This window comes from Homo sapiens, chromosome 7, assembly GCF_000001405.40.
Source record: "Homo sapiens chromosome 7, GRCh38.p14 Primary Assembly".
NCBI classification, from domain to species: Eukaryota; Metazoa; Chordata; class Mammalia; order Primates; family Hominidae; genus Homo; species Homo sapiens.
In genome coordinates, this window is record NC_000007.14 from 107,856,467 (window position 1) to 107,883,985 (window position 27,519).

The 27,519-nt window shown below is 41.4% G+C and overlaps 2 long non-coding RNA genes across 2 annotated transcripts; both read right to left on the reverse strand.

The window, feature by feature from the left end:
• Positions 1–12: 12 nt before the first annotated feature.
• On the reverse strand, positions 13–14,415 carry LOC105375444 (uncharacterized). Its single transcript, XR_927850.3, has 3 exons — positions 14,376–14,415; positions 5,646–5,709; positions 13–650 (listed from the first exon to the last, which is right to left on the reverse strand). It is a non-coding gene; the product is annotated as an uncharacterized LOC105375444 (long non-coding RNA).
• A 42-nt stretch (positions 14,416–14,457) lies between these two features.
• Positions 14,458–17,769, reverse strand: LOC105375445 (uncharacterized). Its single transcript, XR_927851.2, has 3 exons — positions 17,655–17,769; positions 15,920–16,141; positions 14,458–14,493 (listed from the first exon to the last, which is right to left on the reverse strand). It is a non-coding gene; the product is annotated as an uncharacterized LOC105375445 (long non-coding RNA).
• Positions 17,770–27,519: the final 9,750 nt, after the last annotated feature.

The following is a 27,519-nucleotide window of genomic DNA, read 5'->3' on the forward strand; positions in this document are numbered from 1 at the left end:
CTGAGGAAAAATTGGTACATCCCACTTCACCAATTAATTCCCTTTTCATTTTCTCTCTCTTTTCTCCTTCTGGATATGTCTCTTGTGTTCCGCTCTTGCCCTCAAATAGATGTTATTTAATACCTAGAAAGATGAATAGCAGTGGCTACAGTGTTAGTTGCTAGTGACTGCGCTTGCCTTTCAGAAGAAGCTTCTTATAGTGTGAAAAGTTTTCAGAAGGAATGAGGTCTTTATTGTGGAATGCCTTACAGTAGGCCATACTTGTTTTTATAGCTTGGGTGCAGGAGCTGGAAATAGAGGGAGAATGCCTATGTACAAGTGTGCGAAGGAGAGGGAGAAGCTGCTCTCACCCCACTCCTGACTTCTTGTCTGCTCTCTTCTCAGCAAAGTCCTCTTCTGGGGTCTTCCTAGGCCTCACAAAGCTGCTCCCCAGGCCTTGGCCAACCACCTTCCCTGGAGCAGGCTCTCGGTGAGAAAACCTCATGGAGAGAAGAGGCCAGGAGTCCATGGCCACTCCTGTTTACTTTCCCATTCCCATCCTGCATGTTCCTGCCTCCTGCCTGAGTGAACACAGATTGACATGCCCTCTGTGAATGGCTGCAGACCCTTGTTCCAGTTCAGCTCTGTCCAGCACCTGTCATATGTATTACCTGAAAGAAAAACCTGAGATCAGCAGAAGATCCTCAGAGCAGACAAAAATTTTTCTTAAAAACAACAAGACAAGTGAAAAACAGGACAAGGGTGGGGACAGGACAACAGCAGGCTGCACCCAGAGAGTGCACCCAGGTCATCGGCTGTTCTTCATTTCTGACTTCCTGCTGGCTGTCCTGTGAGGTTGAGGTTACGTGGTTAGAGAAAGCCGGTTACTTGTTTCAAAACAAACAAAGTCCTCAAATCCTTTGAACAGCTAAAGGAATAGAGCACTCCTTGAATATGTATTCTTTCATATCCTCTGAACAGATCTTTATTTACAAGGAAGGCTGGTCTTGGCTGGAAAAATGGTAGTCAGATGTAGATCAAAATGATAATCTCAGAACACAGCACCAAGTGTCTTTTGCATGGGCCATGGGACTTAATGTCTTGATAGAACAGAGGATGTCAAGGAGAAAAAACTGAAGGCCACAAGAAAATGTGAATTTTTTAAATAGTTTACTCTGGTTGGAGGTTTGCCATATTCCTGACTCAACTTTATAATGTTTCCCATTTCTAAGCCAAATGGCTCAGAAGTGTGGCTGGGGTGTGACCTTGACCAGGTACAACCATGGCAATGAGTCTCTATTCTTTTTACTTTGGAATCCAACCAACACGTTAAAGCTCTTTGAATGTGGGTATCATATGAGTCAGTGCATGTGTGCTGACTGCCTGCTGTCCTCATAACACAAAGTGGAGTGGGGGCTATGGAGGCTACTGGATTATTTCCGTCAGTGTATACAGCAAAACTAAATTAATCCCCAAGTTTAGGCTTTTTGACCTCGAGTATCAAGACTAGTTTACTTGCATTGTGCAAATTAGTCACCAACCTACTTTGTATTATAGAGAGTTTTAAACTTTTGTGTATTTCTCCAGATTTGCATCAATGAGATTTTTGAAGTCAGCTTTTAAAATAAATACTAAAATGTAACTGCTTTTGGGATTCTTTTTCTTTATCCACCACACCACGAAAGTAGTAAGTTCCAACACTTCTCACCATTTGCAGTGCCACAATCTGGTTCAAGTCACCGTCAGCTCCCCCTTCAACACTGAGGAAGCCTCCAGGCCCATCTCCTGCCTCCAGTCTTATCCCACTCTCCTCCCTGTCAAGCACAGTCCATACAACACGCAGCAGGCAGAGGTATCTTTACCAGGTGTAAATCAGGTTACATAACTCTCTGGTTTAAAACTCTCCAAGGCTTCCTCTTACAACTAGAGAAAAACTTACCCTCCAGTCTTGGCCTACCAAACCCGCCTGATTGGGCTCCTTCATGGCTCTCCCAAGTGACCCACAACTTGCTTCCTGGTCCTCAGCACTCCAGTCCCTTCAGCTTTCTATCTCTTGAACGAATGCACCAAGCTCAGCCCTGCTCTGGGCCTTTGCACTTGTTCCTCCTTCTGCTGCGTGCCTCTTGCCTAGATCTTTGCACGGCTGTCCCCCTCTCATTATCTGGGTCTCAATTCACATCCACTCAACAAACCACTCTAGATAAATCAGCACTCTCTGCCCACTTCTTTTTTTTGTTGAGATGGAGTCTTGCTTGTCACCCAGGCTGGAATGCGGTGGTGCAATCTCGGCTCACTGCAACCTCTGCCTCCCGGGTTCAAGTGATTCTCCTGCCTCAGGCTCTGGAGTAGCTGGGACTACAGGCGCCCGCCACCACGCCCAGCTAATTTTTTGTGTTTTCAGTAGAGACGGGGTTTCACCGTGTTGGCCAGGATGGTCCGGATCTCCTGACCTCGTGATCTGCCCACCTCGGCCTCCCAAAGTGCTGGGATTACAGGCGTGACCCACTGCACCCGGCCTCTCTGCCCATTTCTACCACTCTCTCATTATCCTATTAGAGCCACGTCTGGCACTTAGCAGGACTTAAAACTAAATTATTTTAAAGCCCTGTTTATGTGTTTTTTGCTTGTTTTCCCCCAACCCACAAACCAGCCCAATATGAGAACATGAGCTCATTGAAGGCAGGAACTCAGATCCTTGCGGTCCCTGCTGTTCCCACTCCTGTCCCCCCATACCTGGAGCAGTACCCAGCCTAATACATATTTATTGACTATCTGATAACTTAACAAATTTAACATTCAGTAAAATTTACCCGATAAATGAACGAATGATTAGGGAACCACATGCATGACTCTCAACTACATAGTGTAAAGTTCCACCTACATGGCATTCTGGAAAAGACAAAACCATAGGGATAAAAAATAGATCAGTAGTTACCAGAAACTGGGTTTGGGATGTTAAGGGCTGACTATAAAGGGACATAAGGGAACTTTTTTGGATGATGGAACCCTTCTATATTTTGTTTCTGATGGCAGTTTCGTGTTAAAAATCATAGAATTGGTTGGCTAAACAGGATAAATTGTGTGTACGCAAGTTATACCTCAACAAACTGGATTTTATTTAATTGCCTGACAGATCTTTCACTTACCCTGGAATAAGCACCGAATGGTTTGTAGAAACGCTCTCATATTGGCCCTTTGTGAACAATCTCCATGTACACATATTCTGAGTGCAGAAACCCCGGGAGCAGCATGGTGGAGTAGAAAAGTATGAGCTGGGCATTAGACGGGCTGGGGTTTGAGTTTTGGCTTTGTTGCTTGTGTACTTCAGTTAGGATTTCTTAGTTGCAAGCAGCCCAGAACAGCTCTGGCCAGCCTCACCATGCCTTGGCTATGATAAAAGCCATAAAGAGGAATGGCACCGCTCCTTGATGCTTGTTGGCAGCAGGTACCTGGAATTATGCTCCCACCAAGACTGCATGCATGGGAGGGATGGGATTCCCCCAGAGAAAACCAGGGTGCTCTTAGGATGCTAGGCAGCCCAAACCAACAAACATCTAATGTATTGTGTGACCTTACATAACCTCTCTGAATCTCAATTTCCTCATACTTAATACCTACCTCTTAGAGTTTTAAGAATTTAACAAGATAACTATGTAGAAGGCCTAGAACATAATGTTGCTTTATAAATGTTATTTCTCTTTTCTTCTTCCTTTTGGTCTACATGTCTGAAACGTCTACCTCTAAGCACTCCTAAATTCAGTTAAAAGCTTAGTAATTTATCTACCTCTCCAAGCTAGAAGTCAGGAGTGAGTGTCAGTCGATTTTCTCATTGTTTTCACCTCCTAAATAAAGCATATACATCTCTCCTGGACTATTACATAAGTTTTACAACTGATCCACCTGCCTCTCCTCTCTGACTCTCTCTGCCGCTCTCCCTGAGGCAGTATAATATAATGACAAAGTGCATGGACCCTGGAGCCAAACCAACTGCCTCTAAATCTTGGCTTTGCTCCTTAACTACCATACAACCTCAATCAAGTTGCACAATCTTAGTGTGCCTGTTTCGTCATGTGTAAATTGGGGATAATATTCCTACCTCAAAGAGTTGTTCGGGGATCAAGTGATTTACTATACGTAGGCACTTAGAACAGTGCTTCGGTAATGGCAAGCGCTATCCATGCGTTTGTTCAGTAAATCCACCTTTTTACTGCTTCCAGAATGACCTTGCTAAAATGTAAATGTGAACCTTCCTCATAGAGAAGCCATGTCCTCCTGTCTAACCCCTTTTACTTTTTCCAGCAGCCTTCTCCAACTACCTGCCTCAAGTTGGCACTGGGTCCTTATCTGTGCACTTTGTGCTAAACCCTTTTATTGCACCCGGCTCACTGTGTTGTGACTATTTCTATCAGTTTTCTTCACTATCTGTGAATTCTTGGAAACATAGATACGTATCTGATTTATCTATGTATGGCCAGCACCTATCTATCCAAAGGAAGTGTTTAGTAAATGACTGCTCATTGAATAAAATGAGCAAAATGGTTGATACTGTCCACTGAGCAAAAGACAAGCTATTGATTTCAAATATAGTTTTACTTAAAATTGGAGGGCTGGTATTTCTGTGACTACTCCTTTTACTAACTCGCCATAAAAATCCAAAGCCATAATACTAAAGGTTACCATTGTGGTGACATAAAAATAGAATCTAAAGTACTAGCACAGGTGTGGCACTGTCTGGCTAGCTCCATGCAGAGGGATGGAGCATATGGAATTGAGCCAAGAGGATGATTCTCGTGGACCTTGAAATTTGATTATGATTTCAATCGGATTTTATTTGGCACTGAAGAGCAGAGAGTTCCAGGCTGTATTGCTTAGCAGGTCCTGAAATGTAGAAATTCTGTTATTAATTGAAAATAGACTCATCTGGTTTAAATTCCAGGCATGCCAGTGGGTAAAGTTTTTACCTTGTTGTGAAATATAGAGACCTGAATTCTTGCCTAGATCTGGAGTCTTCTCACATCATACAGAGGGCACAACAGGAAGCCAGAGGCAAGGCTGGTGTTTTATAAAGAGGATCTCTGGAATTGGCTCAAATGTCTGAGCAAGTTCTCAGCTGGAGGCCCAGAGTTCAGCATCACCGAGCGTGGGAGAGATGGCGCTGGCCAAGACCACTGAGGGCCATGAAAGTACTTTGATAAGGGAGGAGGGGGTAATGTTTGCTTTGGGGAATAACTGCGTCCTGTAGACCCGAAAGAAGTTGGTTGCCTAATGCAGCTCCAAACAGTTTGAATTTATTAATATTGCATCGCCTGCAGAGTCTGAAAAAATATCAATATCCAGGTGCCAGCTCAGACAATTTGACTGAAAAAATCTCTGCGGGTTGGGCCCAGGCATCGATATTTTTTTAGAAACCTCTTTAGGTGATTTTAATGTGCATACGGGACTGAGAACCTTTGGTGAGGAGGGAAGGAAGAAGGCCCTTTCCTATTTGTTGTGGCAGGGGTGTATCTATCCAGTTTATCAAAAAGCTCTGTCAGGTACTTAGACTAACATAAGAGAGGAGAACTCTGGAACACCCTACCTCCATTTTATATATTAGGATTGAAATTCAATCTGTCCAGAGTTCATTATTGCTACTCTGATACTAGCAGGGCTGTGGTAAAACTCACCAGACGTAGCAATTGTCTGGGATCAATATCAGGATCACGCACCTCAGCTCACAGAAAGTTCCTGCTGATAAAATCAAAAGTTGATAACAGATCAATACATACTGGAGGGGAAAAGAGTCTAAAATTACTCATATTTTCTCTAATGAAACAGAGGATAGCATAAATTAAAAATAGAATAACCTTTATTCAAGATGTTCAATGCATGCAAGAAACCTGCAATTTAATAATAGAGTTTTAAAGGGATAGCCAACACTCCAATAACGTGTTTACAATAATTACCATACACTCCAATAGTCTATATAATATACATAACATATGTATATAATCTGAAGTTAAGGTAGAAAGTTGTCATTTTGGAAATGATTTGTTGAACAGAAGAGCAGTTGGGTTTAGAGAGAAGACCAGCATCTGATGTTCATAGACCTCTCATAAGCCCTGAATCCATGATTTTGAGTTTACCTTGAAGGTGTTTCTTCCTTTATGAAATGTGGTTACTCAGCTGGGCACGGTGGCTCACACTTGTAATCCCAGCACTTTGGGAGGCTGAGGTGGGTGGATCACCTGAGGTCAGGAGTTTGAGACCAGCCTGACCAACATGATGAAACCCCGTCTCTACTAAAAAAAAAAAAAAAAAAAATTGGCCAGGCGTGGTGGTGGGCGCCTCTTGAACCTGTGAGGTGGAGGTTGCAATGAGCCGAGATCGTGCCATTTGCCTGGGCAACAAGAGCAAAACTCCGTCTCAAAATAAATAAAATAAAATGTGGTTACTACTACTACTAATATATTCATCACTAGGTTGTAATGAGATAATGTATGTGGAAGTGCTTTGGAAACGAAAAAGTACTATGCTAATGTTAATTATTATTTTAATTCATCATGAGGGAATAACACTAGCTTCCCTCTGTTAATTACTCTAGCTTCCTAAGAATTGAAGTCTATAATCCATAAGGGGATACATAAAGGGACATTTATTAACTTAATAAATTAGTATGTTTTTTTTGAAAATAAGTAACACATGGCTGATGGCAAAGAAAGTTAAATAACATGAGAGAATATTTATTAAAATGTAGATTTCCCTTCCAGTCTCCATCTTCTTCCTTGAGAAACAATCATTAACAGGTCATGAGTATACTGAAATTTTCTATACATATATATAAATACAACTTTTACGTTATAGGAATAGGAACACAATCTACTACACTTCTTCACCTTGCTGTTTTCATCTAGTAGCATGGTTTGGTGGCCATCAGATTAGCAGAGTCTTCCCAGAGTGCTTTAATAACATAGCACCAAATAGTGCCTAGGATGGACAAGACCAATGCAAGTGTCTTCCCAGCAGTAAGTGGTGGTGGTGCCCTCTGCTTTCTTCTCTCCCCTCCATCTTTCTAGTTCAGTCTCCATTACCATCAGTCTAGATTCTTGCCATAGTCTCATAATTGGTCTCCTATATTTTATTTTAATTCAGCAATATCTATGGAATATTTACTGTGTGCCAGGGACGGTGCTAGGCTCTGGGGTTGGAAGTGTTGATCACAAGATAGATTTGCCACCCACACAAAGTTTGCAGTCTCCTGGGGTGGAGGTGGGGGTGGGGTGCAGAGAAGTAAGCAGGTATTCCTTCATTCATCCATTCAACACATATTTAATGAGTGCTTTCTAAATGCCAGGTCCCATGCTAGGAGTTAGAGACAAAAAGATAAACAAAATAGTCAAGGTCCTCAACTTCCTGGGGCTTACAATTTAGTGAGCAAGACAAAGATAAAATGAGAAACCCATAAATAAAATAATTACAGATGGTCACAGATGCTACAAAGGAAACATGTTGCTGAGATAGGATGTAATGGGTCATCATACTTTTAAAAGGGTAGTCAGGAAAGTCTCCTGAGAAAGTGCCATTTAAGCCAACACTGAAGATGAGAAGGAGCCAGCCATTGGAATAGTGGCAGGAAAAATAGTTCCAAGCACAGGGCTCAGCCTGTGTAAAGGTCCTGGACTGGAATGAGCTTGGCATGCTGAGAAAATGAAAAGTTGGGGAGTAAACAATAGCCAGGCTTGAATTAAGTTTGGGGAGTTGGGCCGGGCGCGGTGGCTCACGCCTGTAATCCCAGCACTTTGGGAGGCCGAGGCGGGCGGATCACGAGGTCAGGAGATCGAGACCATCCCGGCTAAAACGGTGAAACCCCGTCTCTACTAAAAATACAAAAAATTAGCCGGGCGTAGTGGCGGGCGCCTGTAGTCCCAGCTACTTGGGAGGCTGAGGCAGGAGAATGGCGTGAACCCGGGAGGCGGAGCTTGCAGTGAGCCGAGATCCCGCCACTGCACTCCAGCCTGGGCGACAGAGCGAGACTCCGTCTCAAAAAAAAAAAAAAAAAAAAAAAAAAGTTTGGGGAGTTGGTGGTAACATAATTCAGGATCATGGTAAATAGTTTGACATTGACTTTATTCTAAGCAGAGTGAGAAGCCAGGGAAGGATTTTGTTGCAGAGAAATAATCTGCTCTAATTTGTGTTTGAAGAAATCACTCTTGGTGCTGGTCTGTGAATGAAGTGGACAGGGGCATAGAATTGAATGAAAGCAGAGAGAGCATTTAGGAAGCTTTTACAGTACAACCGGTAAGAGGTGAGGTGGTATGGCTTGAAGTGGGGCTGGCAAAGGAGAGAAGTGGGTGAATTTGAGATACATTTGGAGCTAGGTTTACCAGTGCTTTCTGAAGGACAGAAAGTAGAGGGGAAATGAGGGATCAAGAATATCTTCTGCGTGTTGGGCTCAAGCAATCTTGAAAGGCTGGTATTGTCATTTTCTGAGATGAGTGAGATTTGCAGGAGGAGCCGGAGGGCCAAGGTGAAGATGAGAGTGTATAAGTTATATCTGAGACATTTTTGGGACACTTTGTTGGAGTTGAAGTACAAATATTTTGTAGTTAAGTATATTTTGTAGTTAAATATATTTTGAAGGGATGATGATAGATACTCTTTGAGAATTGCTTAGCCTTTGTTTTTTTAATGTGTTTACGTAGAGACGTCCAACAGGCAATGAAGGATCTGAGCTGGGAGCTTGGGAGAGAGGCCAGAGTGACAGATAATGCCAGGCACATGAAGAATTCAACAGAAGGGCATGAGGAGTTTCCTTGGTCGGCTATACCTCTGCATAGCTCATGCTGACCATAACCAACCATCAGCCTCCTCTTTTCCTCCCTGTATCTCAGTGCGCAGCCCATGTTGACATGTCTTCTATATCTCTTCAAAAGTCTTAACTGTCAATGTTAAAGTTGAATATGGTATTAATGAGAATCCTGTCATTTAGAAAATGCCTTCGAGTTACTTAGCAGGATGGTGACACACAAAGTTTCAGAGTGAAATACAGAGCTTTCCTGAAATATGGTATATTTGCCATTGTAAAGTTTCCTTATGCTGATTCCCCAATTCACGGTAGCAATGCTACCAATATGCTCATCTGAAATGATAGGATAAGTTCTTTTTTTTTTTTTTTTTTTTTTGAGACGGAGTCTTGCTCTGTCACCCAGGCTGGAGTGTGCAGTGGTGTGATCTCGGCACACTGCAACCTCTGCCTCCAGGGTTCAAGCAATCCTCCCACCTCTGCTTCCTTAGTAGCTAGGATTACAGGCATGCACCACCATGCCTTGGTAATTTTTTTTTTTTTATTTTTAGTAGAGACGGGGTTTCACCATGTTGGCCAGGCTGGTCTCAAACTCTTGACCTCAAGTGATCCTCCCACCTCAGCCTCCCTAAGTGCTGGGATTACAGGTGTGAGCCACTGCACCCGGCCTAGGGTAAGTTCTTTAACTGACGCTGTAATTCACTGGCTATAAGATCTCATAAGCAAGTCACTTTATGTTTCTGAGGCTCAATTTCCTCAATTGTGAAATAAATAGAGCAGATTAAACAACATATAAAGGGTCTTACCACCTATAATGTTCCATGATTCAATTATTCCACCCATTTACCATGAGCCCCAAACACTCACACTGAATCATTGTTTACATCCTTTTCCAAGACAGAGCAACAGGAAAAAGAGAGTTCAGATTTCCACTGAAGACCAGGCAGTAAACAGGCAGAGGTCTAAGACACCAGCAGCCACAAATACCACTTTCGGGGTCACTCATCACCAGTCCCACTTTGTAAAAAAGCAGATTACCCAAACATCTTAGGGCAGCTGTGGCTGCCAAAGAAGTGAGACAAAATGGAAGGGGAGGGCTTAAAGTTCTTTTGTGTGATTTTATTTGAAATCTGTTTTATGGGATTTGCTCTAAAGGCTTTTCTGTGATCATAGTGAATCCCACTCACAGTGCTGAGAATACCTGTGTCTTCAGAATCAACTAATTCAGCAAAGACATGGGCTATAACTCATTTGTCAACTCATTTAGTGAAGACATGGGACAAAGGTACACATTTATTGATTATGAAAAGAGTTTTACCATAATAATGAAACCCAGCCAAGGTGAATCTACTGTGTGTCACTGCAAATATTTTGTGGTCATATTTGAGATGCTTTGAGGATATTTCATTGGAGTTGTTAAATAGGTAGTTAAATATATAATTTCAAGACTGAATTTTACCCTAAACCATAATACTTTTAGTACTTTGTAAACAGGATTAACCTAAATAATTACTAAAGAATGCTGTAGGATATTTTCTTCTAATTGATAAACATTTCTACTCATCCACAGCTTACTTTGTTTTAGGCTAAATCTAACATGGTTTAAATTCTTTACTTATTGGTCTAATTTCTTCACCTTCATTATATAATAAAGTTTTTTATTTATTTGAATATCCATAATACAAATTCAAACAACTGTCAACTTAAGAATATGACTAGAAGAATTTTAGGCAAGAATTATATTTATGGGCTAGGGAAGAAGCAGTGGGATGAATAAGCAAAGCACAGAGGATTTGTAGGGCAATGAAAATAATTTGTATGATACTATCATGATGGATACATGTCATTCCACCATTTTTTTAAAGACAGGTTATTGCCCTGTCACCCAGGTTGGAGTGCAGTGGTACGATCTTGGCTCACTGCAGCCTTGACCTCCCAGCCTCAAGCAATTCTCCCACCTCAGCCTCCTGAATAGCTGGGACGACAGGCATGTGCCACCATACCCAGCTAATTTTTGTATTCTTTTTTTTTTTTTTTTTTGAGATGAAGTTTCACTCTTGTTGCCCAGGCTGGAGTGCAGTGGCGCCATCTCAGCTCACTGCAACCTCCGCCTCCTGGGTTCAAGTGATTCTCCTTCCTCAGCCTCCTAGTAGCTGGAATTAAGGCATGTGCCACCATGCCTGGTGAATTTTTTGTATTTTTAGTAGAGACAGGGTTTTACCGTGTTGGCCAGGCTGGTCTCGAACTCCTGATCTCAGGTGAGCCACCCACCTCAGCCTCCCAAAGTGCTGGGATTGCAGGCATGAGCCACCAACCCGGTGTCGTTATACATTTGTTCAAGCTCATAGAATGCACAACTCCAATAGTGAACCCTAATGTAAACTATTGACAGGGTGATAATAATATCAATGTAGGTTCACCAATTGTAAAACATGTACCACTCTTGTGGGGGATGTTGATAATGGGAGAGGCTGTGCATGCGTGGGGGCATGGGATATATAATGCCAGGCACATATGGAAAATCTCTGTAACTTCATCTCAATTTTGCTGCAAACCTGAAACTCCTCTAAAAAATAAAGTATTAAAAAAAATTCAAAATATTTAACAACCAGTACAATATGGTGCTGACCAATCAGAATGATCATTGAGCTTAAACAAGAGATGCTCCTGCACCACTGTGTATGGGCCAAATAGCGGCCTGACTTCAGTATGGTATTAAATTAATACATTTTGATTTCTGCTTTAAGATAGCTACTTCAAACTTGAAAATTTACAGAGACCAAGCAAGTGATGTAAACAAGGAAAGGAAGCTAGGGGTCAGCAAAATACAGATTATTGAGATTGGGTCAGATGTTAAAGCTCAGCAACTGTTAGTACCTAATGAGCCCCAGCTGATTGTTGCTATTGGCAATGTAGATGGAAAATGATTTTTCAGAACAATTTCCAATTTGAATTTTTGGCAAAACAACTGTATGGGCTGGGGCTTACCCAAAGAATACCTGTTTGCTCACCTGTATTCTAAGCCAAGGCCATTTCCAAGCTTTTGCTGGACAAAGTACAGAAATTTCTAATTTGTTTTGAATACTCTTTGCCAAGATTGACTCAGAAAAAGTCAATAAATTCAGAACTCTTGCTTCTTTTGAAAACGTAATTACATTTCTATAATAAGCATTTGTTTATTTAACTGTGCAATAAGCGAATGACTTTTTTGGATGAATGTTTATCAATCCTATTTTAAGGAAATGATCTCTCCAATAAACATAAACCTGCATTATACTATACCTTATATAATTTTTAATCTTTGGCCTTTTCCTGACTCTCAACTTTTGTTCTCTTTCTGCAGAATTTGAATTTTTTCCTAATTAAATAAAAGGCAAATGTAGATGTAAAGGGGTAGAAGTCATCCTGGATGTCACCTGCATGCATTTCCTTCTGCATTCCAGCTGGAACCATTCCCAATTAATTGGATTTAATTTTTTTTCCCACGAAAGTAGAAGAGGAAGAAATGGAGAAGGGAGGAAAGATTTAATTTTTTTTTTCCGCGAAAGTAGAAGAGGAAGAAATGGAGAAGGGAGGAAAGTGGAAGGAAGCAGTGAAATTGGGGGAGATATAAAAGCTAAAAAGTTATTTCTGGAAAAACCAGAGATGCAAGATATTTAGCTCTTATCTCTCATTGTCTATTTATTCAATAAATATTTATCAAGTATCTACTCTTTGACAGGTACTATTCTAGACTGTGGAAGTAGAACAGACCAGGTCCCTGCTTTCTTAAAGCTTCCATTCTAGTGAAGCTGATAAAGTAAAGGAGAAATAAAAATAAATAAGCAAGAGCCTGGCACGGTGGTGCCCAAGTGTAGTCCCAGCTGCTTGGGAGGCTGAGGTGGGAGGATTGCTTGGGCCGGGGAGGTCAAGGCTACAGTAAGCTGTGATTGTACCACTGCACTCCAGCCTGGGTGATAGAGTGAGATCCTGTCTCTAAGAAAAAAAGCTTCCTAGTTTTACATTTGCCTTTCAATGTTGTTTATGACATTTATCCCATACAGAAATTTCAAAGGTTTATGTATTTGATCTATCCCTGTATGATTTTAGTTGTTTAGTCTTATAAGGCATAAGAATACTTTTACATGTGTACACCTATATTTTTTCTAATACTTTTTATATTATGTTATCCAAATCTTTGCTTCAAATAGTACCTTTTTTTTTTTTTTTAAAGAGACAGGGTCTTGCTCTGTCACCGAGACTGGAGTGCAATGGTGTAATCGAAGTTCACTGCAGCCTCAAACTCCTGGGCTCAAGCGATCCTTCCACTTCAACCTCCAAGTTGCTAGGAATATTGTCATGCCACCACTATGCTTGGCTATTTTGTTTTTAAGTTTTTGTAGAGATTAGGTCACGTTATGTTGACCAGGGTGGTCTCTGACTCTTGGCCTCAAGCAGTCTGTCCACACTGGCCTCCCACAGTGCAAAGATTATATGTGTGAGCCACTGTGCCAGGCCCCAAATGGTATTTTTTTTATAGGAGCACTTTGATAAATAACCTTTCAAATATCTTTTGATGCATAAATATATACTTATAAATATATGTTTATAATTTTATGCTATATATAGTATGCATGATTTTCTGTAACTTGATTTTTTCATTTAGTGATACCATAAACATATTTTCATGTACATAAATATAAATGTATTCCTCATCTTAATGTTTCCATAAAATTGTATCTTTATTCCCTAATTTACTTATTAATTGATGGACACTTAGTTTATCTTCCCAATTTTCCTATTTTATTACAATGAATATCCTTATTTATAAATCATTTCACACCTGCAAAAATAACTTGTTAGTATAAATAACTGGAAATTCAATTGCTAGATAATTTACATGATGATAAATATGTTGAAAAACTCTTCTCCAGAAAGATCATATCAATTTAACCACACCAACAGTGTGAGAAAACAGAGTAGTGCCATTTTTCAAAGATTTTGTCAGCCTTTTAAATATTTGATAATCTTATACATGAAAAAAAGTCAAAATTGTTTTATTTGCATTTTTGTGATTATTAGTGAACTAAAATATTTCTTCATATGTAGGTTCACTGACTCAAACAGGGATGGCCATGAAATTAGACAAGTGTCCTAAACTGGAGAGACACTAGAAGAGTAGAGCCAGGGAACAAAAGCTGGTATTCACAGAGAGCCAAAACTCAAGATCCGGGGGCTGTTGACAAGTAATGGGTCAACTGAGAACAGGGTAAGCTTCAAGAAGACACAACAAGTGATAACTGGATGGGTTAGAGACTATATGTGACAAATTAAAGCAGTGAGTTAAGGTACAGTAAATATTTGAAAACTCGGGGACGAATGGAAACAAGGGTAATTATTCCAGCCACAGGGCTGGAGTTCAGAAGCAACAGTGCCTCCAATAAGGCTTGTGAAGAACAGATGATCAGCTGAGTGCAGTGGCTCAAACCTGTAATCCCAGCACTTTGGGAGGCCGAGGTGGGTGGATCACTTGAGCTCATGAATTTGGCTCAGCTTAGGCAACATAGGGAGGCCCCTGTCTCTACAAAAAACACAACAATTAGTTCTACAAAACAACAGGTGTGGTGGCACATACCTGTGGTCCCAGCTGCTCAGGAAGCTGAGGCGGGAGGATCACATGAGCCTAGGAGTTCAAGGCTGCAGCAAGCTATGATTGCACTACTGCACTCCAGCCTGGGTGACAAAATAAGACCCTGTCTCAAAAAACAAAACAAAAAACAGATTATCAACACAGAGACAGAAGATGCGGGAGGGCAGTAGGATGCAATGGACATTGTGCTATACCACCCAGATACCCCTTCAAAATTAACATACTAATTCCTCCAGCTGCCAGGGCTGCCAGCCCTCTCCAGAAATTGCCCTAGACTGAAGAGGGCTGCCATGCCCAAGGTCATTGCCTATATCCAATGACTGGTCACTGTGGAGGTTTAAGAAACTTGCAAAGTAATTTAATAAGGTAACTAATAAAGATAATAGAAAGGGAAAGGAAAAAGCCAGTCCAGACAGAAGTAATTCTGTGTCCAAAGACACAAGTAATGAAGCAGCATGGTGTTCAAAAAATAAAAATGTAAATTGATTTTGCCAGAATATGGCAGTTTAAAGATGGCCACAATTCTTTCTCGTTCTTCCCATCCAGACTTGGGATACTGACTCTGGGCTGGTCATGTAACTTGACTTATTAGTAGAATGTAATGGAAGTGATCTTGTGAAATTTCCAAGGCTAGGAAATTTAGTTATCACCTTTGTAGAAGCCAGTTGCCATGTAAAGTACTTGGGTCAGACTATTGACCAATGAAAGACTGTGTGGAGAGAAAGGCCATGGGCAGAAGCACCAAGAAGACAACAGAATTGTCAATAACCAAGCCCCAGACATATGAATGAGGCCATCTTAGACATTTCAGCCTCAGCTAAGCTTCCAGATGAATGAAGCTATGCACATAACTGCACACCTATGTGAATAACCACATGGCACACATGAGCCGCCTAGCTGAGTCCAGTCAACCCCAGACTCATGAGATATAATCATTGTTGTTGCAAGCCAGTGTGTTTTGGGACAGCCTGCTGTGTAGCAATAGAAAACTGGTGCTCAGAAGGCGGAGTGGGAAATGCATTGATGGACAAGGGCAAAGACAAGTAGATGCAATTTCCTCAAGATCCTTATAGGTTGTGCTAAGGATCTTGAGATTTGTGCCTTCTTCTGATCTTTAAACATGCTGAGACATTTTCCACCTTGGGGTCTTTGCATTGTTGGTCCTTCTGCCCGGAATCTTCTTTCCCCAGCTCTACCAGGTTTCCCTCATTCATTCCTTCTAGCACTCTGGTGATTGGAACCCAAGCAAAAAACAAAAAAGCTCTTATTCCCAGCATTCTGAAGAAAACCACTAAAAAATATGGTAAGGTTCTTCCCCCAAGCCATACACAGAAGTAGCCATCTACTACCTCTGCCATCTACTACCTCCCCTACACTAGTTGCCCTCTAAATAAGGAGAGGCCTGGGGAAGGGGATGTGATTTGTGGTGGAGTAGGAGTTGAGAGTTCTTGAGCTTTCATCCACCGGGAAGTGTCTTCCCCACCCCACCCCCATGCAATGTGTCGTGGGTCTCTGAGGGAATCACTCACAAAGACCGGAGGTCCTACAAGAAGGGGAGACTGGCTTCTTGATCCCAGGCTGGATACTAGCTGTGCAGCCAAATGTGCGGCTGTGGGTGGAAAGTTAGCTGAGCATATTTAGGAGAGATTGATGAGTGTCCCCGAGGGTGAGGGATTTTTCTATATCCATGAAGACTGCTGTCAAGTTCTTGTCTGGAGATCTGCAGAGAGTGAGGGTTTCTTGGAGTAGCCCTTTGAATAAAGAAAAATGAAAGAAAAGGTAAGGGGGCATCCTCAGGCCAGTTCCAGTGGCCCTAGGACAGCAAAGAGATGAACTGGCATGTATAAAAAAACATACCCCGCACCTCCATCATACCTGCTCCTGCTCCTGTACTCCATTGTGGGTGAAAGGCATCACCAGAAACCAAGTATCCTAAGTCAGGAAACTGAAGGTCATTTTTGTCTTTCTCTTTCTCTCTCTCTCTCTCTCTTTTGAGACAGGGTCTTATTCTGTCACCCAGGCTGGAGTGCAGTGGTATGATCATAGCTCACTACAGCCTCGGCCTCCTGGGCTCCGTCAATCCTCCCATTTCAGCCTCCTGAGTAGCTGAGATCACAGGCATCCATCACTACACCCAGCTAATTTTTTGAAAAATTATTTTGTAGAGATGGGTATAGTGGGGTGCGGGGGGTGGTCTCCCTATGTTGCCCAGACTGGTCTTGAATGCCTGGGCTCAAGTCATCCTCCTGCCTTGGCCTCCAAGAGTGCTGGGATTACAGGCATGAGCCACTGTGCCCAGCCATCTTTATCTTTCTCTTTTTTATCCCCTACATCTAGTAAACCACTAGCCTTTTAACTGTGCATTCTTTACTGCCTCTTCAATTTCTTTTCTTCCCTCCACCTCTATGAACGTAGTTCAGGAATGTATCACTTGTTGCTTGGGTTACTTCAAGAAGTCTCTTTTCTAAGATAAGGAAAGCCTAGACTTTAATGCTACACTTTTGAGAGGGTGATGAGAAGACATTCCTTGTTTCTTTTTTACCCCAAACCAGGGAAAACTAGGCAATGAGGATATTACAGATCTCCCCAAACCAACAAACAGAAAATCTGCTTCCTTTGAACCAATACTCCTTTGAGCAGACCCTGACTTAGCTATCTCTTTTTTTTTTTTGGAGACAGAGTCTCACTCTGTCGCCCAGGCTGGAGTGCAATGGTGAAATCTCAGCTCACCGCAAGCTCCGCCTCCTGGGTTCAAGGGATTCTCCTGCCTCAGCCTCCTGAGTAGCTGGGACTACAGGCACGCACTACCACACCTGGCTAATTTTTGTATTTTTAGTAGAGATGGGGATTCACCATGTTGGTCAGGCTGGTCTTCAACTCCTGACCTTGTGATCCGCCCACCTGGGCCTCCCAAAGTGCTGGGATTACAGGCGTGAGCCACCATGCCCGGCCTATCTTTCCTTTTACCACCAAACATCATGTTTACATTTTCTGCCTATATTTCCTTATCACTCTGCTTTCAATCCCTTAAATTATGGCTTCTTTTTAACTGAAATTGGTTCACAAAGTTCATTCACTAATGCCAATGTACTGATTTAGGCATTTTTCTGTTACAGGCAATAGAAATTCTAACCAAAATTAGATTAAGCAAAAAGGAGAAGGTATCAGCTCATATAACTGGGGAGTCCAGAAACAGAAATAAGGACAGGCACAACATCATCCAGGACTCCGTATCACTGTGATGCCATTTCTCTCCTTGATTACCTCTAATTCCTTAGAGTTTGCTCCATCATAGGACCACGCATGGAGGCAAGGCAGTTGCAATGGCTTCAGTTTCTATATCCACTCAGATGGACATCTCAAAGGAACAAGGGTGTGTTTCATTCTTTCTCATTCTGTCCTAAGTCCCTAAACCGATTCCTGTGGCCATGGGAATGTGTTGCTCTGATTGGCCAGGCTTGAGTCACATCTCTACAGGGCAGACATGTCCAATAGAAATATAAGGGGAGCCATAAATGTGAGGCACAGATATAAGCCACATATGTAATCTTACATTTTCTGGTAGCCACACTTTAAAAAGTGAAAAAAAAGGTGAAATTAAATATAATGATACATTCTATTTAACCTAGTATATCCAAAATGTTATTCTTTCAGCATGTAATCAACATAAATGATGATTAAAATGTTTTATATCATTTCTTGTACCAAGTCATCAAAACTCATCATTTTAACAAGGCTTCCAACTGATGATGTGTTGGGGGGTGGAGGGCCTGTGAGACATACTTTGAGAAACACTAACCTACACTTTCATTTTTTCTGTGTTCCCAAAATTACCTTTAGAGTGCTCAGAGTACTGAGACATCTGCTGAAATATGCTGGAGCAATCCAGAGTGAAGCAGGGTTGTTACTGGATAGAGCAAGATAGGATCAGAGACGTTTAATATTGCTGCCATGTTGCCGCCATCTATTGGTTGTGTCACATATTACAGGTTCATAACCGAAAAAATGAAGCTGGTCATTTGTGGGCCCCTTTATACTTCTGGCAAGACACCTCCTCAACTGCATCCTGAAATGACTTTTCTTTAGAATTCTTATTTATTACAGAATACAGAAAAATCTTAATAGTTGTGCATTATGGATTATCAGGCCTACGTCTAACAGAATGTTGTTGTTGTTGTCAGCTACAGAACAGATAGATTTCCTTTAAATATAACCCTATTATCCTGTCAGCAATCCACTGTAAGTGACCTTGGTTTCTGTTTCTGCAGATTTTCTTCACCTTCTGAAGGCATTGACCAGAGAAAATTTCTTAACATCTCTGAGCCTTAGTTCCTTCAGCTATAAAATATAGGATAATAATGCTACCTTCTTCATAGCGTTATTGTGAAGATTAAATTGCATAGTGTTTATAAATTATTTGGCACAGTGCCTGATGTATATAAAGAACGCTGTCAATGTTATTGTTAAGAAGAATAACAAGTCTTAATGGAAATTTGAACAGTGACTGGAAATTTGATAACATTATGGAATTAAATTTTATTTTGTTTTTTTTAAATCCTTATATTAAAAAAATCCTTATCCTTTACAGATACACACTGAACTAGTTATAGGTGAAATTATATGACTACTGGGATTTGTCTCAAAATAAAATGGAAGGGAAGTGAGCAGTAAAGCAATATTGGCTATAATCTGATCATGGTTTAAACTCAGTGAAGGATTTATGAAGGTTTATTATGCTACTTTGTTTTGTGTATGTTTGAAATTTTCCATAAAATTTAAGCAAACAAACAAAATTGCCAGGCGCAATGGCTCACGCCTGTAATCCCAGTACTTTGGGAGGCCGAGGAGGGCGGATCACCTGAGGTCAGGAGTTCAAGACCAGCCTGGCCATCATAGTGAAATCCCGTCTCTACCAAAAATACAAAAATTAGCCGGGTGCTGTGGTGCGTGCCTGCCTGTAGTCCCAGCTACTTGGGAGGCTGAGGCAGGAAATTGCTTAAACCCAGGAGGCGGAAGTTGCAGTGAGCCGAGATTATATCACTGCACTCCAGCCTGGGTGACAGAGCAAGACTCCATCTCAGAAAAAAAAAAAAAAAAAATTAAAAAAAAAAAGAACAATATGTTTTTATATTCTTCACAGCAGCATGTATAATGCTGGACATACTGTGGGTACTACATGTTGATTTGTTGATTAATTGCTACCATGGGATAGAATTTTGTCATCTTGGGGAGAACAACTTAAAAGATGAACTTAAAAGAATTGACTTCACATGCCTCCAGAAAAAAATTAGATGGGAACACGTTTTAGCTTAACATGCTAAAGGTGATTTTGTCAGAAAAATCATGATGAAGTGTATCACTGTTGGCATAGCAAAAATTGGCAATTCTCTAAGAGATGCAGAAAGGAAGAATTGTAGAGATTATGTCTTTCAGCATCTATCTTCTTGACTTAAGTAAATAAATAAGAAATACCTACTTCGTTTGTGGATAGGAATCAAAGAAATATCCCATCTGTGGCAGATAATAATTATGTTCTTTGTTATAGCATATCAGAGAACCCATCCGTAATAGTATTGGTAGGGATAGCTATATTTGTATGGTAGTTACAGCTCTTGCATTCAAACTTCATCTAATCCCATTACATCTAGTTGATTCTTTTTTTTTTTTTTTTTTTTTTTTTTGAGATGGAGTCTTGCTCTGTCACCCAGGCTGGAGTGCAGTGGTGCAATCTCAGCTCACTGTAACCTCTGCCTCCCGGATTCAAGCAATTCTCCTGTCTCAGCCTCCCGAGTAGCTGGGATTACAGGTGCATACCACCACACCCAGCTAATCTTTGTATTTTTAGTAGAGACGGGGTTTCACTATGTTGGCCTGGCTGGTCTTGAACTCCTGACCTCGTGATCCACCCCCCTCAGCTTCCCAAAGTACTGGAATTACAAGCGTGAGCCACCGTGCCTGGCCACATCTAGTTCATTCTTAAACCCGCCCGTATGTACCTCTTTATACCCTGTCATGTGAAGAGCAAACTCCAGTTCCTCTCTGCCTAATAGATTTTCTAATGCCCTACCACAATTTTCTCCTACATTATTTCATGCTCTTTTAATCCTTGGATATAGCAATAACTTTTCCACTTCAATGTGGATTTATTCACAGATCTTGAGTGTTTGGGTCATTTCACTTCTTGTTTTGTTTCTTAATTCTTTCTTAACTTGAAATATTAAATGAAATGTGTTGAAAGAGATAAGTATTTTCCCTCAAGTACCATTTCCACCTGAAGGGGTTTAAATTCTGTGAGAACAAAGACCATGGAGAGGAAATCCTTCATAAGCTGGCAGAAAGTGGCCTTTAAGAGATACACTCCAGTTCTCCCGTTCCTCTTATCTCAGTCTCAGTTAGAGAGAGAAAGGAAGCGAGAAGGCATCTATGGGTTTCAGAGGCATTTAGATTTTTTTCAATTGATTGAACAGATCAACAGTATAATTGTGTTGGTTCAAGTCCCGTAAAAATGGTTAGAGGCAGAGAGTCATTTTATAAAAAGAGTGAGGGACTTGGGATCAGAAATTCTGAATATGAGTTCTGTCTTAATCACTTGTCAGACTTGTAAGCTTCGACCAGCAACTCAATCATATTAAAGCAGTAGTTTCATGCTTTATTATCAGAAGTAATGATAATAATAATATCGATGTCAGGATTACTACTATGTAGACCAGTACTGGTAATGTCTGTGACAGAATTCTATAAAATGTAAAGTGCAATTAATACTTGCTCTTAGAGCTCATTAAAGACTCATATTTCATGGCAACTACTTTAATCCATTTTATGGAAGATTCACTATAGAATACCTGTAGAGACTCAAGTGACTCAAAATGTACTCTGAAAGTGAATTCTTTTGGGAGGCTGAAGCAGGCAGATAGCTTGAGCCCAGGAGTTTGAGACCAATCCGGGCAACATGGTGAAACCCAGTCTCTACTAAAAATACAAAAAATTAGCTGGGCACATTGGTGCATACCTGTAGTCTCAGCTACCAGCTACTCGAGAGGCTGAGGTGGGAGAATCACGTGGGCCTGGGATGTCAAGGCTGCAGTGAGCTGTGATTACACCACTGTACTTCAGCCTGGGCAATGGGCATGAGACCGGGCTAAAAAAAAAAAGTTAATTCAACAAACCTGCTTGATAAGTGTTCAGTGGGTTATAGCAGTATAATAATTTACCTTTTTAAGGACATACTGTGAACCAGGTGGATTATTTACAAGTTTTCTCTAATTGTCCCAACAGTCTTCGATGAAAGTATTATCTCAATTTCACAGGGGAGGAAATAATTGAGAGGTCAGCAAATTTGTCCAAGGGCACAAAGGAATTGCACAATGAGATTCAAACCCCTAGGCATTACCCTAAAGCCCATACCCTTTTCCCTGTACTACTTGGTAAATTATTATGCCTTTGTCCTTTATTCCTCTTTGCCCAGATGTCTCTAGGCCTCAGGAGTCACATTCTCCCTGACTTTTCATCTCCCTCTATCAAAATCCTACCCACCTTTCAAAATCCAATTTCAGTAATTACGTCTTGCACAAAGACATCCCCCAGGTCCCTGGCCCCTTACTTACCATCTCCCCACCTCCAAATTCCTGCAGCACTTATCTTTCCTACTGACTTTCATTCATTGAACAATTTTTTTTGAGTCCCTATTACATGCAAGGCATTGTTCCAGGCTCCGGGGATGTATCTGAACAAAACAGATGGAAATCTTAGTACTTGTGTAGCTTAGATTCTACTGGCAGGAGAAAATGTTATAAAACAAACACAACAAAGTAATTATATAGAATGTTAGAAGATGATAAATGCTGTGGAAAAAAAAAAGCCAGGTCAAGGAGAATGACAGTGCAGGGCAGAAATGGGTTGTGTTGCGATTTTCATTAGAGTGGTAAGGACAGATTTCACTGAGAAAGTAACTTTTGAATAAGGACTTCAAGGAGGCAAAGGAGTGAGTCATATGTCTACTGCTGGTTTGAGGAGAAAGGTGGAAAGGGGCGTGTGTGAACGGAAATCCAGCCCAGGATGGCATGTTGTCTGATATTTCTTTTCTTTTCTTTTCTTTTTTTTTTTTTTTTGAGACCAAGTCTTGCTCTGTCACCCACACTGGAGTGCAGTGGCATGATCTTGGTTCACTGCAACCTCTGCTTCCTGGGTTCAAGCGATTCTCCTACCTCAGCCTCCTGAGTAGGTGGGATTACAGGTGCATGCCACCATGCCCAGCTAATTTTTGTATTTTTAATAGAGATGGGGTTTCACCATGTTGGTCAGGCTGGTCTTGAACCCCTGACATCGTGATCCACCCGCCTTGGCCTCCCAAAGTGCTGGGATTACAGATGTGAGCCACCATGCCTGGCCGATATTTCTTTACTGCTTGCATAGATGCCTGATATCCTCAACTAAATCATGAGCTTTATAAAATCAGGGAGATGTGCTGATAACTTTTTTGTGTTTCCTTCAGTGTCCTGTGCAATATTTTATATCCAACAAACACTCAACAAACACTTGGTAATTGTTGATTATTGAGTATGGCACATCATGGCCTAATAACTTTGTATTTAGAATCATTTTGAAGCGTTAATGGTAAATCCTTCGGTTCCTACCACAGTATATACATTTCCTTTTTGGAGTTCCCAGCTTTTGCAGATAGCATAATGAGAGAACGTTGCCCTCTTCTGGGCAGAAGGTGCTGGTGCCTTTTGATTCTAAAACTCTGCTCACTTAGATACTGTTAACACTATGACTCATTATTATCTACTCAATCAACCACAATTAATTAGATTAGCATTTTGACACAATTTTGTTGTTGTTTAAGCACCATCTAAGAAAATGAAATTTCTCAGGAAAAAGATGATTAGGAAGTGAATTACAGTTATTCCCTAAACAAAACCCAGAGCTGTGAGTTGTATGGCAATAACTCTGAAATCCATTTGGGCTGATTTTTTCCATAATGAAGGGGAGAATTCAATTCCAGGAAACCTGGGTTACATAATCAGGACAGGGGAATGCCAGGGATGAAGTCTTCCACAATAAGAATATGAGGTAGTAAAAAGGAAGAGTCAGGGACACTATTCTCTGCCAATTAGTACTGTGTCTGGTGATGTAGTATATAACTGAGGAAAGATTGGGGCAGATTAAGTGGACTTCTGGCTACGTGACCTTAGATATGCTATTTAAATTCTCTGGGCTTCTGTTTCCTTGCCTATAAAATAGGCAAATGAGACTTCTAATAATAAAATAGGACTAATAATTCTAATAATAAAATAGGACTTTCTAATAAAAAATAGGAAAATGAGACTTCTAATAATACTTCACTTAAAGTGTCTGGTATGTGGTGGCTTTTCAATAAATGGTAGTGTACCAGTCAGAATTCTGGGTTGCAAATAGCCTGAGAAAAATCTCTTGTTCGCTTATGCAGAAAAGGAACTTATTGGCAGGCTATCCAATAGCAACAGAATTAACATGAAGTTTTGAGAAATGAGCTTGGCAAATTGGCAGAAAGCTAAATGGCCCCGGCTGAGATTTTCCACAGGAAGGGTATGAGTAGGACACTACCTTGCCACCACTGGCCAGTGACACTAGAGTCACTGCTGCTGCCAGTAGGGTGCATTCTAAGTTGTCATGGTTTCTTTGTGCCGCCCATTTTGATTCGGGTCCTGGTGAATACATCTGATTGGCAGAGCTTAGGTTCCGTGCCTGCTCTAGCTGCTAGAGGCCGGGAGAGCCAGGGGTGGCCAGTTGGGCTTGCTAATGGAGTCTGGTCTCAAACTGTAGTGGATTCCTCAAACATGGAATGGGAGTTCCCATAAAGCAGCGGTCCCCCCCGCCCAAACTTTTCAGCACCAGGGACTGGTTTCGTAGAAAAGGGGGATGGTTTCGGGATGAAACTTCTACCTCAGATTATCAGGCATTTAGCTAGATTCTCATAAGGAACAGGCAACCTAGATCCCTCGCATGCGCAGTTCACAGTAGGGTTCACGCTCCTATGAGAATCTAATGCCTTGGCTGATGTGACAGGAGGCAGAGCTCAGGCAGTAACGTTCACTCGCCCTCCACTCACTTCCTGTGTGCCGCCCAGTTCCTAACAGGCCAAGGACCAGTACCGGTGTGTGTGTGTGTGCGCGTGTGTGTGTGTGAAGAACACTTAAGATTTACTCTCGGCCGGGCGCGGTGGCTCACTCCTGTAATCCTAGCACTTTGGGAGGCCGAGGCGGGCGGATCACGAGGTAAGGAGATCGAGACCATCCTGGCTAACATGGTGAAACCTCGTCTCTACTAAAAATAAAAAGATTAGCCAGGCGTGGCGGGCTCCTGTAGTCCCAGCTACTCAGGAGGCTGAGGCAGGAGAATGGCGTGAACCCGCGAGGCGAGCTTGCAGTGAGCCGAGATCGCACCACTGCACTCCAGCCTGGGCGACAGAGCAAGACTCCGTCTCAAAAAAAAAAAAAAAGATTTACTCTCTTAGTATACAATACAGTATTATTAATTATAGCCACCCTGCTGAACATTAGATCCCCAGAACTTATTCATCCTATAACTAAAAGTTTGTTCCTTCTGACCAACATCTCACCATTCCCCCCAACCCACCCTCTGGCCCCTGGCAACCACCATTCTCCTCTCTGCTTCTATGAATTTGACTTGTTTAGATTCCACATATAAGTAAGATCATATACTATTTAGCTTTCTGTGTCTGTCTTATTTCACTTAGCATAATGTCATCCAGGTTCATTCATGTTGTTACAAATGACAGGATTTCCTCCTTTTTAAATTATTGTTATTATTATTTATTAATATTATTAAAGATAATATAATATATAATTTAACACATATGTACATATATAAAATAGAATATTATCCTTTCATCTATTCGTGGACACTTAATTGTTTATATATTGACTACTGTGAATAAGGTTGTGATATGGGAGTGCAGCTATCTCTTAAGATACTTATTTCATTTCCTTTAGGTATATACCCAGAAGAAGTATTGCTGGGTCACATGGTCGCTCTATTTTTAATGTTTTGAGAAAGCTCTATACTGTTTTCCTTAATGGCTATACCGATTTTCATTTCCATTGTGCAAGAGTTCCTTCTTCTCCATAACCTTGCCAACACTTGTTATCTCTTGTCTTTTTGATAATTAGCCATCCTAACAGGTGTGAGGCTACTATGACCATTATGTAGTTCTTCATAAGCCAGCTCTTTGCAGCTCAGTTAAATAGGACTGTAGGCTTTATAGCTAGAAGGGACGTTGGAGCCCTTCAATTTAAGGTTTGGGAAGCCAAGAGATGACATATGCTATATCTGTGTAGTGCAGGTAATAAATAAAATAAATAAAAAGAAGAGATGACTTGTGCTAGATTACACGCACTGAAAGTAAAGGAGCAGTTAGATCTAGAACTTGAGTCTCCTGATTGTCAGTCCAGTTCTCCCTATAACATTCTTTCCTATTTGTAAAATGAGTATGTTGATAATGTTTATTGCCTAGAACACTCATTCCATCCTCCCTGCTCAGATAATTTGTCATTGTTTGGATATTAGCTCAAGCATCACTCCCTCAGAAGAGCCTTTTCTGCTCTTTTGTCTTGCCCAACTTGTTCAAATCCTTTCTGGATCTCCGTGCTCTTTCACAGCGCTTATCGTAATTGCACTCTTCTATTTTATATGGCAGTAGTTGGTTAACCTAGTTACACCGTCTGGATGTAAACTCCATGTGGTCAGGGACTGGCTCTGGTTTCGCTCTCTGTTGCTTTCCTGGCTTTTAGCACAATGTCAAGCACATAGTGGGCCCTCAGTGATTACTGGACCTGTGAGGGAGTGAATGGATGAAGAGATCTTACAAGCTATAAAGAAAATTCAGATTATTAAAGTTGTTAACACTATTACTGCAGTGGTTAGTACTCATACTCGAGACAATACAGCACTTTTACTAAGCCTGGTGTCTTTGACTTCTCATCAATGTTTGCTCCTCTTTTCTTTCAGCCTCTGCCCTTCACCTGCTATCTACTTGCCACTCACTCTGCTCCCCTCCCCCTGCCCTAAGTCTGTCCAACTGGGAAAGGATGTTACCCTCCATGACAATTACTTCATCCACTTGACAGTCTTAGTTCCTTGGCTAACCATCCAAGAAAATCTACTGGCAAACCACTTCACAGGGCTGGAGTGATGATTAAATGGACAAATGATGTAAAGCTTCACACAGAGTTTAGAATAATCCTCTTACCCTCTTTTCCCTAAGGGAAGAATCGTATTTAAATCCAGCAACTGTTAGCTTGTTGGAATAGAAAATGTTTGGAGATGGAGCAATAAGAATAAATTTCTTAATAGAAAACTTTCAGGCCAGGAGTTAGGGCAGTGGTTAGGTGGAATAGAACAATTTGGGGGACAGCGGGGGCCAATTAATGACCCCTCAGGTCCCACTGTGTGGGTTTCACCAATTTTGTTCTTGTCTGAGGCAATTTGGAGGAGAGTGGCACTATATGAGGGATTCTTCTGTGCAACTGCCTCTTCTAGAAGACCACAGAGCCCAGTTAAAAATAATATAACAAATAGTGATTTTGTGTGGGTGTATGTTGCTTTTTTCCTTTTTTAGTTTTTTTCTTAAAGGAGTGAGGGCGGGCCGGGCGCGGTGGCTCACGCCTGTAATCCCAGCACTTTGGGAGGCCGAGGCGGGTGGATCATGAGGTCAGGAGATCGAGACCATCCTGGCTAACAAGGTGAAACCCCGTCTCTACTAAAAATACAAAAAATTAGCCGGGCGCGGTGGCGGGCGCCTGTAGTCCCAGCTACTTGGGAGGCTGAGGCAGGAGAATGGCGTGAACCCGGGAAGCGGAGCTTGCAGTGAGCCGAGATTGCGCCACTGCAGTCCGCAGTCCGGCCTGGGCGACAGAGCGAGACTCCGTCTCAAAAAAAAAAAAAAAAAAAAAAAAAAAAAAGGAGTGAGGGCATGGAAAACATACAGCACACCAATAAAACAAAATATCAAAAACACAAAAAAACAGAAAATGGAAAAATATATTTACAAGTAGTACATTACTATGATGAGAAAGCACAAGGAAGCCTGCTACTATAATACATGCATTGGCTCAAGAAGAAACTACCA